The 16,122-nt window shown below is 51.1% G+C and overlaps 1 protein-coding gene across 5 annotated transcripts in view, besides 1 other annotated feature; it reads left to right on the top strand.

Moving 5' to 3' along the window:
• The window catches only part of PXDN (peroxidasin), a 113,015-nt gene that overhangs the window by 78,735 nt on the left and 18,158 nt on the right, over positions 1–16,122 (top strand). For all 5 annotated transcript variants that reach the window (XM_011510396.2, XM_047445789.1, XM_005264707.4 and 2 more), the window contains 6 exons: positions 1,093–1,209; positions 2,404–2,562; positions 3,983–4,095; positions 5,130–5,286; positions 11,659–11,767; positions 12,382–12,539. In XM_011510396.2, the coding sequence (XP_011508698.1) occupies positions 1,093–1,209; positions 2,404–2,562; positions 3,983–4,095; positions 5,130–5,286; positions 11,659–11,767; positions 12,382–12,539 (813 nt within the window). The remainder of the gene's footprint in view (positions 1–1,092; positions 1,210–2,403; positions 2,563–3,982; positions 4,096–5,129; positions 5,287–11,658; positions 11,768–12,381; positions 12,540–16,122) is intronic.
• Positions 8,010–8,671: an enhancer, noted in NCBI's record as "H3K4me1 hESC enhancer chr2:1661268-1661929 (GRCh37/hg19 assembly coordinates)". NCBI's record gives its function as "activates a minimal SCP1, AML or CMV promoter by ChIP-STARR-seq in naive H9 embryonic stem cells {active_cell/tissue: H9 hESC(naive)}" and the evidence as "EXISTENCE:reporter gene assay evidence [ECO:0000049][PMID:30033119]".

Here is a 16,122-nt window from a genome sequence, read left to right as displayed (position 1 = left end):
ACCCCTCCACTAGCTCGCGCTGCCATACCCACAGACGCTCCATAGAATCTTCTGCCCTGTCCACTTCACTCGGTTGATTTTTATCCATTACACCCCCCTTGGACTAAATACAGACGACTGCAGTTTGTAGATTTTTGGAACAGAAGGCTCTGTAGTATGGGCTCTGTGTGCTGGCTGTCGTGTCTCTGTACCTCCAGCACCTGGCCAGCAGGAGTGTCTATCAGATAAGTGAGAGAGAGAGTGTGTGTGTGTGGGTGTGCACACATGCATGCACATGTGCAGTAAGGTGGTTGATACACCTTGCAGACAGCTTTGAATCCTTCCCTAAGGTCAGTTTTGGATGTAATCTGGGAGTATTCATCGTTTTACGCCATCTGCCATGGATTTCTACATTGCTTAATTGACTGTAAAATGAGTTATTCTTGTGAAGTGGGACTTTGTTGGAAAACATTCAAACAATACGGAAGTGCAAAAGATAAATTATTAGAGATGATATTAGAGATAGAGCAATCATTTCCTTCTGCTGGCCTCTCTTCAGCCCTTTCCTGTCTCACTGGCAATCTGTCGAGAATCTGCACGCACAGCAGTGCAACTGCGTTACATGGATTTACTTTTTTTGTGGCTGTTACTTTTATAAAAATGGAATCATACCAGACAATACTATTCTGTAAGTTATGTTTTTCATCCAGTGATAATAACCACTATCATCATACACAGCTATACCAGATGGCATTTTTTAAGCATTTGCAAATATTAGTTTAGGGTGAGGATTGAGAGGAATCGTTGTAAGTCGGCCTGGTGTCCACGAGCTGCAGTGTGTCCTCATCCGTGCCCCGTGTGCATTGCAGCTGGCGGTGTGGTTGAACGGTCTTTGTGTGCTTTCCAGGGTGATGCTGAGAACACACCCATCCTTCATCTTCTTTCCGTTCTGCTCCCATCTTCTCCTGTGCCCTCTGCCTCTTTCTGACTCTTCGTTGTAGACATTGCTCCTAATGGTCAGACGTCTGCCAAGACTGTGGTCATTTTCTTGGTCGCGTTTTTACCCCAGGCTGTTTTTTACATGTCCTGTTTTGAATGCTTTCTCTCCGGAAGCTCTTCCTCAGTTCACTGTGACGCCTCAGGACAGAGTCGTTATTGAGGGCCAGACCGTGGATTTCCAGTGTGAAGCCAAGGGCAACCCGCCGCCCGTCATCGCCTGGACCAAGGGAGGTAAGACCCAGGCCGGCCCTTTGCCTGCTCCCTCCGCGGCCACAGACGCAGGAAGCACACATTTCCACTGTGCCCAGGCAACCCCAGCGTGTTCTGGACAGGGCTGAGCTGGGACTGGATTCCACAGGACCAAGGCACTGGGAAGCGCAGAGGTGTCTGCACATCCCCCGCGGCTTCCTGTCCATGCATGGCCGTCCCTCATGGACATCATGGCAGGAAACTCTGAGAAGCTCTGTCATTGCGGAAGAGACTTGGGGTTCCTGCCTTTGACTCCCTCACACCTGCCTTGTTTCAGATAGTCTCTAGGATGTGCTTTTAAGTAGCCTCTTGAAGGAATCTATTTGCATGGAGGATAGAATTTTCTGGAAACAGTCGAGGAATATATTGAAACAGACGAATAGCTTTTGCTCTGACTTTGCTTCCCAGAGCCCTCACTGTCACCTCCCCATTCGGCATCATGACCTTTCATCACATTCTTTGCCTACAGTCCTAGCCCTCTTTCTTCAATGGGAAAGTCGCTGGGCATGTTACTGCATAAAGGCACAGCCTGGATGGGGGTTGGGGTGAGGGCAGGAGCTGAAACTGCTGGAGAAGGAGCTACGCAGACCTCCTGGTTCCTGTCCTGGGATGCAAGCAGTGACCCTGAGACATCCTGGCCACTCCAGCTTGCACCAAATGGCCAGCCCATCCCTTCAGCCCTCTGAGGGGCCCCACCCAGGGCTCCTGAAAGTCTTTGGGGAGGAGGCTTGTGCCTGCATCACACGCCCTGGATTTCCCTTTTCTCAGGCAGTTATGGGCAAGAACAGGAGAGGTTTATCCCGGAAAGGAACTTGCTGGGGCCTCGCTTGGCTCTTCGTCATCTCCAGCACTCAATCCTCTCCCTGGTTCTCCCAGCTGGCCATCCACCCCGCTCTGACTCCCCGAGTCCCCATGTCCTCCTGGCCCCCTGTGTAGTGCTTTTCCCTCTGTTCTCTGCCACTGTCAACCCCTCTGTCTGAGTTACGGGTGCAGGGACGTTCAGGTGTCACCATGGTGTCTGCTGGGGAGGCAAAGATTTGCTTATGCAGGGCCAGGCCAAATTATCCGGCGCCCCGACCCAGGTGGAGACAAGCTTCTGTGGTCATGCTGTCAGTCTGAGAGCAGGAGTTCTCCATGCGTCCGAGTGTCCAGTGTAACGGGCCCATGCCCTTGCAGGGAGCCAGCTCTCCGTGGACCGGCGGCACCTGGTCCTGTCATCGGGAACACTTAGAATCTCTGGTGTTGCCCTCCACGACCAGGGCCAGTACGAATGCCAGGCTGTCAACATCATCGGCTCCCAGAAGGTCGTGGCCCACCTGACTGTGCAGCCCAGAGGTAGGTGCCAGGAGGTTGTGGACTGAATTGATTTTCTCAGATCGGTTATCAGGAAACACAGAATTCCGCAGCTGACATTAGTGTTACTCTTCGTTATAAAGCGTTGGCTGTTCTCTCTGCATTTTGTGCACCGTCATTGTGCTTGTGCCCCCAGGGTGTCTGCATAGTAGCTCATTCAATCTCTGTCCCTTTAGCGGGTGAAAACATTTGCTTATTTTTCAGTGATGGTTGTTTTGAACTTGGATAAGAGTGACTTGTTAAAGTAAAATCTATCAGGTTTTTTCCCTTGGTTAATTAAGATTATTTTAGAAAAGGGTTGTTTCTAACTGCCCTTTCTGGGGTGGTTATTTAAGTAACACAGTCTAATCAAGTCAGCTCCCAAGGCACAGACCCCAGATGATGTATCATGAGGCCAAATCCAGTTTCTTTCCCGTCTGCCCGCTCATCCTTGGACCCTGGTCTTCATCTTGTTCTTTTTGGATGTCGCCTTTGCCTGTTCTCTCCAATGAGAAGAATCCCCACAACCTCATATCCCTCCCGATAGAATCAGCGTAGCACTGATTGTGGCCTCTGCAAGAGCGAAGGCCCCTGGCCCAGCCCCCGTGTTGCAGGCGCCCTGTGCTAACTCCAGTGTTAGCATGAGTGGCCCCCAGAGCTGAGTAATCCAGGTTGCCACAGACCCTGAGCTTGTCATGGGGACCATGGGGAGTGGGGCAGAGATGTCGTGCGGGGAGGATAGGGCTGGATTTCCTTGCGTCACTTTGGGGCTGTCCTGAGACTGTGCAGACCTCTAGAAGGGGCTCCCCTCTGCCTGTTGTCAGTAGGCTGTTGATGACCGGCCCGCCGGGTTGGCTCTGTGTTTCTTGGGTTTGCCCTTGGCGTCCCTGACCTAGCAGAACGCTGGGTGCCTGTATAGAGAATGCGGGGGTGGGATTCCTGAACGGCTCCCCAGATCCCAGCACTCAGCCACGCTCCTGCTCTTTCAGAGGAGGAAGCTCCCCTCTGTTTCCTTCTCCGAGAGTCGGGCTCTCCCCAGAGCTTGTTATCCTCTGTGGGCCCTGCGGCACAGCATATGCCTGAGACTGCCCCACCATCGGTGAGGGACTGGGGGCTGGAGGACATGGCAGCCAGCCCATCCTGGACCCTGCGGCTGTCTGTCTCTGAGCAGGGAAGACACTGGCTATGCTTTGCTCTCCTTGCCCTGAGAGGCGGGGAGGCGGGCGGATCTTCCCTGGGATCTTTCAGGCTCCCCTGCCCTGTGCAGAGGCTGCTGGGAGGCAGAGAAAGGGCCCATTCTGAAACTGACTGTGAGCTCCCAGCATCCCTGAGTGGGCCTGATGGAGGGCAGGGGATTTTGTTCTTCTGAAGTTTTTTGATGTAATTGACTCGTTCTCCTGGATTCTCTACATCTGCCTTCCAGTCACCCCAGTGTTTGCCAGCATTCCCAGCGACACAACAGTGGAGGTGGGCGCCAATGTGCAGCTCCCGTGCAGCTCCCAGGGCGAGCCCGAGCCAGCCATCACCTGGAACAAGGTAGGCGGTCTGGTGCCCGAGCCAGCCACCACCCAGATACAAGGTAGACGGGCTGGCACCCACACCACCCACTACCTGGAGCAAGGTAGGCGGACCAGTGCCCACGCCCCAGCCTCCCCTCTGCTGTGGGGTATGATGGGCTGGACAGCTGCTGCCTGCCCACTTCCTCTATAGACTTTCTGTAGCAGAAAGAAAAACATTCAGATCTTAAGCCTTGAGGTAAAAATACTCAGGGCATCCTTACTAATAAGAACAAAACAAACTTGGAGCATTCCATTTTTTTGATCTTTTCAATAACAAAAGCAAAGAAAAACCCTCTTATAGAACTATGGTCTCATCATCAATAAGGAAGGGTTTTCATCGTTATTTCATTTCTTTGCTGTTTTTATTAAGCTCAGTAGGAAAATGTGGGTAGCACTCACACACCATGACCCGTGTTTCTGTGAATTCCCTCCCGGGAGCACAGGGCTGGCCACACTGGTCCCCATGGAAGGAGAGTGCTCAGCGGAGATGGTCCCATCCTCCACCTGCATCCCTGCACTGCCCTGTGAATCTCTGTGTCCTTTTCTTCCTCGCCACACACACCCCAGGCATCTGCTCTTGTTCCTGCCTCAGCTGGGAGGTCACCTGTCCCTCTGCGTCTGCCTCTGAATCCTTCTTTGCCCTCGGCGCCAGTGCCCTCTCTTTCTGAGACATTCCTAGGTCTCTTTGTAGGGCCCCCCACCATAGCGGGTGTCTAAGGGAGCCATCATTGGTGCCTCTTCTCCTCATTGTGGAAAATCATCCTTGCCTCAAGCTGTCAAGCTCTGTTCTCCCAAAGAATGAGATGTGGGAAGAGTTTATCTCGCCAGCTTGGCACTGGGAGAACTGACCACATCTCCTTCGCTTTCCAGGCCTGGATGGATCTGAGCGCAGCCTGGGAGCTTCTCCATTTGCAAATCCTAACAAATGGCTCCCCTCCCCCAACCCTAGGTCAGATAACTTCTGCTTCTTAGTCTTATTTCTAATACTGTTTTCATTCTGTTTTGCTCCAGGATGGGGTTCAGGTGACAGAAAGTGGAAAATTTCACATCAGCCCTGAAGGATTCTTGACCATCAATGACGTTGGCCCTGCAGACGCAGGTCGCTATGAGTGTGTGGCCCGGAACACCATTGGGTCGGCCTCGGTGAGCATGGTGCTCAGTGTGAATGGTAAGATGCCACATGCCCACATCTACCCACATGGTATCCACAAAGAAAGCCCGCAGGTCCCTAGTGTGGTCCCAGGCCAGTTGACTTAGGCTGTTCAGAATTATTCAGAAGACAAAGCACCCTTGATTCCCAGGTGGGGACACTCTCCTGATGCATGGCCGGGCTGCTCGACAGCCCCTCCCCTCCACACAGGCACCTGGAGGCCCTGCTGCCCATCCACGGGGCAGAGCTTTGTCCTGCAGCCTGTCCACTGGGCAATGTCTTACCCTGCAGCCCATCCACTGGGCAGAGCTTTGCTCCGGGGTCATCCACATCTGTCCAGAAATGACCAGGTGTAATTTACAGTTACAATTTGGCAAATATGGTTGCTTGAAGAGATTCTGATTCCTTAGCTGCGGTTTCTCTCTCCTCGGGCTTTGGCCAGGAATGCTCTGGAAGCATCTTTCAGTGGGAACCTCTAGGTGCTCGTAGGCAGCCTTACATAGATCCAGTCGGTGGTCCTAGAGCCGTCCTGACTCCATGCCTGCATCTGTCTGTTTGCATCCTGGTCCGCCACCACTTCCATCCCACTCACCCCGAGGCCCTTGGCATCTTGTCCGGGTTCTTGTAACAGAGGCCCGGGTCACTCTGGCCCCTCTTTCTCAACCCACAGACCCCATGATGCCCATGATGTGTCCCTGACCCTTCTCCATGTCTCCTGTGGCCACCAGGGTGACACTCACACCCTTTAGCTTTGCATGGAGTCTTCACAGTGTGACCCAAACCTGCGCCTCATCAGTGGTGTGTTCCCCACTCCTGCTCTGTCCCCCTAGAGTTAGCAACACTCTGAGAACGCGCACAAACCCCCCTTCACGGGGTAAAGGACCCTCTGGCCATCACCCCACTCCCCGCAGGCGCTGGCCTTCCCCCGGGCCTCCACTGTGACTCTATTTTTGCCTTTTCCACTCTCATTGTGACTGATCCGCCTTCTCCATGGGACTTGTTAACAGACAGGAAGAGTGACCCCCACTCAGTGCCATGAACATGGCAGACATAAATGTGAACCGTAATGGAATTCCTCAAAGACTTTTAAGAATTATTTAGGAAAAGTCTTAAGTGACCTTATTTTCCCATTATATGTAGAGTGTGAAATGTAAAGTTGATGTAAAATTAAGTGTAAAATTAAGTGTAAAATTAAGTTGATGAAACTTAAAAACCAGTAGATTATTTAAAATTAATATTTGTTTTTTGCTTGAAAAATGCTACCTTAACATGAATTAATTACATCTGAAATTTAATCGTCCACCCGTAATTCCATCCCCCAAAAATACCATCATTAATATTATGGTTGGATTCCTTTTCCTTTTATAAAAAGGTAGATAAAGAAATGCTTTTGGATTATTTTTCTGTGATCATTGCTTATAGAAATACAAATTCAACTTAAACCATTAATAAGAATGAAATGTGAGTCATAAAATTATATAAAATTGTATGTCTCATTTATCTACCTATTGGCATAAAAATATTGCATTCCAAAAATTAGTAAATTTGGGCTCTGAGATACACACCAAAAAGTAAGGTTTCTGCCTAGCTGAAATTCTTTTCAGCCATTTGAGTTGTCCATGTATACATACCTCAAATATGCAAAATAGCCAATGAGCTCACCTAATCCACATGCCTGTGATGTCTGTTAGCGGTGAAATAAATCAGGCTGGAGATGTCCATCCATAGTCCGGTGTGAGCACATGTTGTAAGAAGATGGTTCAGAAGGGCCCTCGGGTTGGCCCAGTTATCACCAATAGTCGCCGCCACTTGGTCGTTCGTTCAGCAAATGCCTTCGTGGGCTGGACTCTGTCCTCAGTGCTGAGCCAGGTGTGCCAGGCACTCGGCTCCATGGAGTTAGATCCTGGTGGAGAGATGAGTAAGAAGCAGTGAGATGAGCAGTCACGCTCAGATGGTGAGGAGTCCGTGAGGAACCGCAGGGCAAGGCATGGGCCGGAGGGGGAAGCAGAGGTGGTCAGCACTCGCCTGCGTATTGAATTCTGAGCAGAGGGAGCCGCGGGGAGATGGGGGGTGGCAGGGGCAGCCTGGTCTGGGAGAGTAGAGTGGGGGGGTCCTGGGGTCAGAATGAGCCCGATGCCGGGGGGTGGGGAGCACAGGGCTGGGGCAGTCCTGGGGGTCCTGGTGCTAACTGGGCTGCAGAGCTCGACTGTCCTTGCAGACATACCGGGACGCCATGAGGAAGTTCCCAGCAGAGGAGCACCGTGAGCCAGTCTGCTTTCCTAAGATTTGGCTTGGGCTGTGGATGAAGGGTCCAGGGCGAGGTGTCGGGGAGGATAGTGGGGGGTGCTGGGCCAAGTGGGAGAAGGAGTGCCTGCACCCGGGCCCACAGCTGGGGTCTGCGGGGCTGGTCCCTGGGCTCGTGGCCAGTAGCAGATCTGAGGGGGCCTGGCAGTAGTTGGCTTGCACTGTGGGGGGACTGCTGGGCTCTGTCAGTGTCACCCATTGAGACCCAGAGACAGCTGGGGAGGAACCGGCTTGGGGAAGAAGAGATGGAGGAGTCCTGTTTGAGCATGGAAAAGGGAAAAGCCTGGAGTGGGTGGTGAGAGCCACGAAGTGAGCTGCAGGGAGAGGTCAGGACGATGGTGTAAATTTGAAGACAACAGCGTGAAGTGGAACCACACAGGGAGATGCTGTGGAGGACCAGAACACCCAGTCACTGTGCTGGAGCTGCAGCCTCAGAGGCCGGGCGGGCAAGGCAGAATGAGCAAAAAGACACTGAGAGTGGACGCACGCAGACACTGTAACAGAGAGAGAGAGAGAGAGAGAGAGAGAGAGAGAGAGAGAGAGAGAGAGAGAGAGAGAGAGAGAGAGCCCACAGCTGAAATGGAGTGCTCAGGAGGAAGAGACAAGGAGAAAGGAAATCACAGTGAGGGGGCAAGTCCCAGTGAGGAGGGGGCAAGAGGGGGCAGGTTCCTGTCAGGAAGGGACTAGGTCTCAGTCAGGAGGGGCAGGTTTCGGTCAGGAGGGGGCACGTCCTTGTCAGGAGAGGGCGGGTCCCAATCTGGAGGGTGCAAGTGCCTGTCAGGTGGGGACAGGTTCCAGACAACAGGGGGCAGGTTCCTGTCAGGAAAGGACTAGGTCTCAGTCAGGAGGGGGCCCGTCCCTGTCAGGTGGGGGCAGGTTCTTGTCAGGAGGGGGAAGGTTTCACACAGGAGGGGCTGGTCCCTGTCAGGAGTGGGCAGGTCGCTGTCAAGAGAGGGTAGTTCCTTGTCAGTAGGGGGCAGGTCCCTGTTAGGAGGGAGCTGCTTTCAGTCAGCAGCCAGGTTTCAGGCAGGAGGGCCAGGTGTCTGTCACGAGAGGGCAGGTCCCAGTCAGGAGGGGGACGTCCTAGTCAGGAGGTGGCAGGCTTCAGTCGGGAGGCAGCAGGTCCCTGTCAGGAGAGGGTAGGTCCCTGACAGGAGGCGGCAGGTTTCAGTTAGGACAGGGCAGGTCCCCTTCAGGAGAAGACAGGTCTCAGTCAGGAGTTGGCAGGTTTCAGTCAGGTTGGGGCTGGTTTCAGTCAGGTTGGGGCTGGTTTCTGTCAGGAGGGGCAGGTCCCTGTCAGGAGGGGGCTGGTTTCAGTCAGGAGGGGGCTGTTCCCAGTCTGAAGGTGACAGGTTCCAGTCAGGGGAGAGCAAGTTTCAGTCAGGAGGGGGCAGGTCCCAGGAGGAGGTGGCAGGTTCCCCCCCAGTCAGTAGGAGGCAGGTCCCCCCCCAGTCAGGAGGGGTAAGTTGCAGTTTAAAGAGTTCGGGTCCCTGTCAGGAGGGGGCAGGTCCCAGCCAGGAGGGGCCAAGTTTCATTCAGGAGGGGCAAGGTCAGTCCCTGTCAGCAGGGGGTAGGTTTTAGTCAGGAGAGGGCAGTTCTCAGTCAGAGGGAGTAGAACCCAGTCAGGAGGGGACAGGTCTGAGGCAGGAGGGGACAGGTTTCTGTCAGGAGGGGACAGGTTCCAGTCAGGAGGGGGTAGGTCCCTGTCCGGAGAGGGCAGGTTTCAGTCAGGAGGGGGCAAGTCCCTGTCAAGAGGGTACAGGTTTCGGTCCCTGTCCAAAGGGGGCATGCTTCAGTCAGGAGAAGGCAGGTTCCTGTCAGGAGGGGACAGATCCCAGTACTGAGGGGGCAGGTCCCTGTCAGGAGGGGACAGGTTTCAGTCAGGTGGGGGCGGGTTTCTGTCAGGGGGGCAGGTCCCAGTCGGGATGGGGCAGATTTCAGTCAGGAGTGTGCAGGTGCCTGTCATGAGGGGACCAGTTTTATTCAGGAGGGGACAGGTTTCAGGCAGGAGGGGACAGGTCCCTGTCAGGAAGTGGCAGGTTTCAGTCAGGAGGGGGCAGCTTTCTGTCAGGAGAGGGCAGGTCTCTGTCAAGAGGGGGCAGGTCCCCATAGAGGGCTGTGTCCCAGCAGCCAAGTGAAAGAAGCTTTTTTGTAAGGGTGTGTTGGGCTGTGTCAGCGTCTGTCAAAAGATTGCGTATGTTGAAGAAAAATGAAATCAACTTTGGATTTATTAGGGTTCATGTCATTGGGTGAGATGGTTAGAGCTGTTTTCATCACTAAAAATAAAAGTTGGTTGGAATTAGTTTATAGTATTTGGTAAAGTATCAACTAGGGACTTACTATTAAGCAGAAAAGAATGACAAGAGGGAACTAGAAAGAGGGCAGTAACTTTAGGGGTAGATAAGGTGTGTGATTCTGTGTGTGTGTGTTTCTTTGGTTTGGTGTGTTTGTGTATGTTGTGTGTTTGTGTGGTGTTTGGGGTGTGTGTTTGTGTGTGTTGTGTGGTGTGTCTGTGTGTTTATAGTGTGATGAGTATGTGTGGTATGCTATGGTGTTGGTATGTGTAGTGTGTATCTGTGTGTATAGTGTCGTGTGTATCTATATGTTTGATGGGCTATGTGCGTGTTATTTATAAGGTGCTGGGTGTGTTGTATTTGTGTGGTGTGTATGTGTGTCTAATGTGATGTGTGTGTCGTGTGTATCTGAGTGTAGTGTGATGGATGTGTGATTTTTGTGTGTATCTGCATATATAATCTGTGTGTGTGTGGTGTGTGCGTCATGTCCTATGTGTGGCGTGTGTCTGTGTTTAATGTGCTGTGTAGGTGGCATGTGTCAGGAGGGGGTAGGTCCCTGTCTGAAGGGGGCATGTTTCAGTCAGGAGGGGGCAGGTTTCAGTCAGGAGGGGGCAGGTTTCCGTCAGGAGGGGGCAGATTCCTGTCAGGAGAAGGCAGGTTCCTGCCAGGAGGGGCAGATCCCAGTAAGGAGGGGCAGGTCCCTGTCAGGAGGGGACAGGTTTCTGTCAGGAGGGGCAGGTTGCTGTCAGGAGGGGCAGATGTGTGTGTGTGGTGTCTGTGTGTCTGTGTATAATGTGCAGTGTGTGGTGCATACCTCTGGTGTGTTTGTGCAATGTGATTTGTGTGTGTGGTGTATGTGTGTTTGTGTGTACAATGTGATGTGTGTGTATAATGTGATGTGTGTGGTGTGTGTGTGTAATGTGATTTGTGTGTGTATAATGTACTATATGTGTGGTGTGTGTGTGGTATGTATCTGTGTGTGGCGTGTGTGTGATGTGTTATGTGTGGCGTGGTGTGTCTCTATATAATGTTCTGTGTAGGTGGCGTATGTGTTTCTGTGTATATAATGTGATTGTGTGTGGTATGTGTTTCTGTGTATAATGTGACATGTGTGTATAATGTGCTGTGTGTGTGGTGCATGTGTGGTGTGGATCTGTGTGTGGCGTGCATGTAATGTGCTATGTATAGTGTGTGTGTCTGTGTATAATGTTCTATGTAGGTGGTGTGTGTGCGCCTGTGTGTATAATGTGATTGTGTGTGTGTGGTGTGTGGTGTGTGTGAGGAGGGAGTTTCCCTGTGTAATGATACAAGTCCACAGGTGAGAAGATGGGATCATGGAGGCAGCAGATCTTTAAAGAGGGGAGTGGGTTAGGATCCCGGAGTCCAGGGAGGCTGTGGCCTTTGATGAGAGGAATGGACGAGATCTGCTGGACACTGAGGTGTCTCCACAGACATCTTGTCTGCTGGGCTGGCCACACAGGGAGGCCTCAGTCCACACCTCCCACATGCTGTTGCATATAGCGTAAGATCTTCCATGCTTCACATTATAACTACTTCCTGTCTTCTTCTTAGGTATAACATGATTTCAAAAGCTAAAGTCTGTAATTTTCATGCTGTCTGAAACGGCTTCTAGTAGAATTTGTGATAAAATAATTTGAGTTTGGGTTTGAAAAATAGAAATAACATTTGGAGAAAAGTATGCCTTGTGGCTAATGATGTAGTGTCTAGACATCATTTTATGAGTAATTGTGCAGTATTTTTCCTGGTAATACGCGACTTTGTATTTTCCTAGTTCCTGACGTCAGTCGAAATGGAGATCCGTTTGTAGCTACCTCCATCGTGGAAGCGATTGCGACTGTTGACAGAGCTATAAACTCAACCCGAACACATTTGTTTGACAGGTATCGTGGGGCTGTAAACACGCTGACCCTCAAATCACTGAGCTTTAGGGTGAAGGTGGGAGTGATTAAAGAATGCATGCAGTTCTAATATATGAATTTTGATTTGATTATCTGATGATCAAAATGTTTAATTTAAAAATCATGAACAACATGGGCATCTGAGTTTTCTGGGGGTTGAAATAACAGAAGGATGTGTGCTTTTCAAATAGAATTTGGCTATGATCCACAACCAAAACATTCTTTGAAAATTTCAACTCATTCCTTTGGCTTATGACTAAATGATTTGGCAAAAACAAATAGTTTAAAAGTCATTAGTGTATTTGTTCACGTTGCTGATTCCAAAGCAGTTTTTCTGCATCTTATGTGAAATGCAATATCTGTGATTTTCTCTATTGACTTAATTAATTATTTGTTTTTAGTGTCTTCCGGTTTTTGTCTGTTTGTTTTGTTTTTGTTTTGTTGCCTCCCACTTCGGATGAGGAAGGTATAGTACATTATGTTGTAGAAAGTAGCCGTAGAAATATTAATAGCAATGATTATATTTTGGGGTACTATGAATTTTATCTTCAGTAATTTGTTTCATTCTTCCTTTCTTCCCCCTAAACTCTGGTTAGCCGTCCTCGTTCTCCAAATGATTTGCTGGCCTTGTTCCGGTATCCGAGGGATCCTTACACAGTTGAACAGGCACGGGCGGGAGAAATCTTTGAACGGACATTGCAGCTCATTCAGGAGCATGTACAGCATGGCTTGATGGTCGACCTCAACGGAACAAGTCAGTGCCAAAGCCTTTTCTTCCTCCTCCATGGCCTGAGTAACGGGGTTGAACACGCCTCAGTTAAGTCACATTCCTAGGGAAGAGTTCCAGCATTTTCTTTCCCACTGTGCTTATGAACTGTGAAATTATTTCCTTAAACTGTGATTCCTCTTGAGCCCTACAGCCCTGTCGCTCTCACTTTGGTTTAATAGGAATCTCTGGGGGACGTGAAGTCCCTTGGAGTGCTGATCAGGCTACAGCAGGTCCACCTGCCCTGAGTGGGTTATGCCATCCTGGCCAGGGTGGGTTATGCAAGCCCAGTCCCTCTGCAACAAATGAGCCATAAGGGAGGACTTGGCAGCGTGCTTGCTCCCTGAGTGACGTTGTGTCCTGGGAATGCGGTGCCACGCGTATTAGGAGGGTTGTTTTGGAAGAGTCCCGGGTCTGTGAAACCAGCTGATGAGATCACCTCGGGCTGGTGTGGAGATGCTGTTGGGGGAGGTATGTCCCCCACTCACTCTGCTCTGGCACTTTGCCGTTGCCCAGTAAATAACAGATGCCTTTACATGTCACGATTGTCCTTGCTGGTAGTAGTACTATTGATGAACCCATAGAAGACCCTGACTTTCTCATGTAAAAACATCATTTTCAGCAGCAGCTGGTTACTCATGGTTCTGTACACACACACACACACACACACACACACACACACACAGAGCACGGAGGAGAATGTAACAGTAGCTGTCCCTGTGGGATGAAAGAACTGCTTTATAATTTTTCAGTTTTCCAAATTGTTTTCATTGAGCATAACTTTTACGATTAGAGCAAAAAATGTTCTTCAATGGTTAAATGAAAGAGACGTGGAATTGAGACCTGTAGGGTGATATATGCCCGTCTTCGGAGTAGAGTGTTGCTCTGAGCCAGCCCCGTCCTGTTAGGTTTTGGAGCCCTGTTGGTGCTGAAGCCTGGGCACCAGCCAATGTGAAGCTGTATGTTCCGCAGCTCCTGCTTCCTGATCCTCTCCTGGCCTCTCGTGGCTGGGGGCGGGGGTGGGGGCAGGGCAGGAAATGTTGGAGTTGGAGACCTCTGGATGTTTCTGCTTTTCTCGATGGGTGAAACTCCAGCCTCACCTCCCAGGCACATTCTTGGGGAGAAGCATCAGAGCCCATTTTGTTATTTCAACAAGTATTTATTGGGCACTTTCTGCTTGTCAGGTGCAGGGGGAGACTAGGATGAGAGGTACCAGGCATGGGTCCCAGCCCCTTCCCAAGTCCCTGGTGCCAGTCTCCTGGTAGAAAGGCCATGTTCTCTTCTCCAGAGAATGAAGAGGGAGTTACTAAGTGTAATTTCTTGCTACTCCCTACCTTTCTTCATTTAGTTACAGGATCAGATCTTTAAACATTACTGTGGCAGCCCAGCAAGTGGGTTCTGCCGCCACCACAGAAATAAAGCCATCTGGAAATGTCTCCTCAAAGGCAGGCTGTTGGAAGCTGTTCCTTGTGAGGAATTGCATGTCCATTGTGTGTCATTACATGCCAATTATAGAAAGATTTAGACTCAGGGAAAGACAGAAAGGAAAGAGTAAAATCACCCCAACAATGTGAAATCATTTTATACATTTGCTGTTTACCCAAGCAGCAGTTAGGTGCACATGCAGGCACTCATTTCTTCACTTATTCGTTCCACCTGCCTGTCAGGGCACACCCTCTATGCCAGTCATTGTCCTGGGCCAGGGCCTACAGTCACAAACGGAAGAAATAAAAACCTCTGCCCTCAAAGATCAGACCTTCCAGAGAAATGCAGATGGAAAACCAGAGAGAGGCCCCTGCACATAAGAAGCCCCAGCGAGTGACCCAGAGAGAAACAGCAGGCGGGAGGTGGGTGGTGCCCTGGCTGGGATGGGGTGCTGTTCCCCATGGGCGAAGGTGACACGTGAGCAGGGACCCCACAAGGGCGAGGGGGCCTCCCTGGAGCATCTGAGGGGACCACACATGCAGAGTCTTGGAGGTGGGGCACGTTGGAGCATAGTGGAACAGCAGGTGGTCACTGTGGCTGGAAAGGGGGTGAGGAAGGGCTGATAAAGTTAAGGAGATTTGTGCTCCACCAGAAAGGGCCTGGGAGCGAATATAAGGATATGTCGTTGGCTGTGTATGAAATGGGAACCTTAGGGTTTCCTGCAGAGAAGCAACATGGTTTGATGCATTTTCAAGCATCGGGCTGGGTGACCACTCTGCATGGGGTGAGGACAGATGTGGGCAAACCAGTCCTGGGAAACTGGGGCCAGGGTCGGTGCCACCTGCTCTGGTTGGCGGGTCTGGTCTGCCTCTGAACCAATGGCCAACGCCACGGAAAAAGTGAACATTCTGGAGGAAAGCCCGGAGACCAGCCCCACAGCCCAGCCAGGCATTTGGGAGGAAGTGCTTTTCCTCCTGGCACTCTGCTTTCTTGGCTCTATGGATGTTCAAGATTGATAATTCTGTAGGACTTCCCAAGAGTAGCTGTGAAAATAGGGCCAGATGTTTCAGCTCACTGTTTCAGCCTCTGGGAAAAGTCAGACAGAACAGAACCAGGGGCTGAGGGGAGCCCGGGGTTCATGTTCCCTGCACAGACCTTTCCCACCCAACACACCAGGGTGTGTGTTTCTGACTTATTCTCCCCAGCCTGGAAAATGCCTCACTTCCAATTCTTTGCATTCTTATGTGGGTGTTATGGACACCGCTCCCCCACAGAAAAGGGGCTGTCTCTTGTTTTCTTTAAAGGTGTCCATAGTGATACCTGTGATCTTGACAAGCAGAAATGGGCTGGAGAAACTTTAGAAAAAAGAAGCAGTGATGGCTTGGAACTCTGTGAGTATGTGCACACGTGAAAGTGTGAGTGTGGCTCTGTAAGCATGTTTGCATGTGAGTGTGTGCATGTGTGAATGGAAAACATTTAAGCGTGCATGTGTGTGTGCGTGTGTGTAGCTTTTCGGCAGGCATGACATGTGCCTGGAAAGGAGGAGTGTTGAGGAAGGTGAAGGCCTAGGATGTATGAATATGTGGAGGAAGCACTTTGGCGAACACAGAGATCTGAGTGTGTCTGACCCCAGGACGTGGAGTAGCTGTTGCTTGGAGCAGGTGTCTTGAAGGCGAAGACTAGGATCTGAACTTAGGAAGATCTCTTTCATCTGTGGAGTGATGGCCCAGGCTACCATGTTTGGAATTTCTTCTGTAGCTAGTGGGCAAAGACAGAAGGTCTCTGAGCAAGAAGGTGACCTAGTCGGAGCCTGTGCCAGGCTCATGGGAGCGTGCGCTTGCTGTGGGGAGGGCGTGTGGATGACCTCCACCAGGCAGGAGGCCCTTCTGGAATTGAAGGCCAGTGCCATGGAAATCAGTCCCAGGATTCTGCCAGAGAAATGGAGAGGAGGGCGCGGCGGCTAGGAACATTTTGAGGTAGCGTGAAAGGAAGTGGCACTCTTTTGGACGTTGAGGGAACAGCATGAAGCCTCAGTGGACCGAGATGTGCAGTGACAGGTGTCAGGAAATGCCCTGCTCGGCAGCCTGTGGAGACCGATGGTGTGCACTCGTGTGGAGGTGTGGTGACTGTCTCTTACACGGGGCGT

Source organism: Homo sapiens, chromosome 2, assembly GCF_000001405.40.
Source record: "Homo sapiens chromosome 2, GRCh38.p14 Primary Assembly".
Classification (NCBI taxonomy): Eukaryota; Metazoa; Chordata; class Mammalia; order Primates; family Hominidae; genus Homo; species Homo sapiens.
Note: the sequence above shows the minus strand (reverse complement) of the source record. Positions and strands in the feature narration are given on the sequence as shown.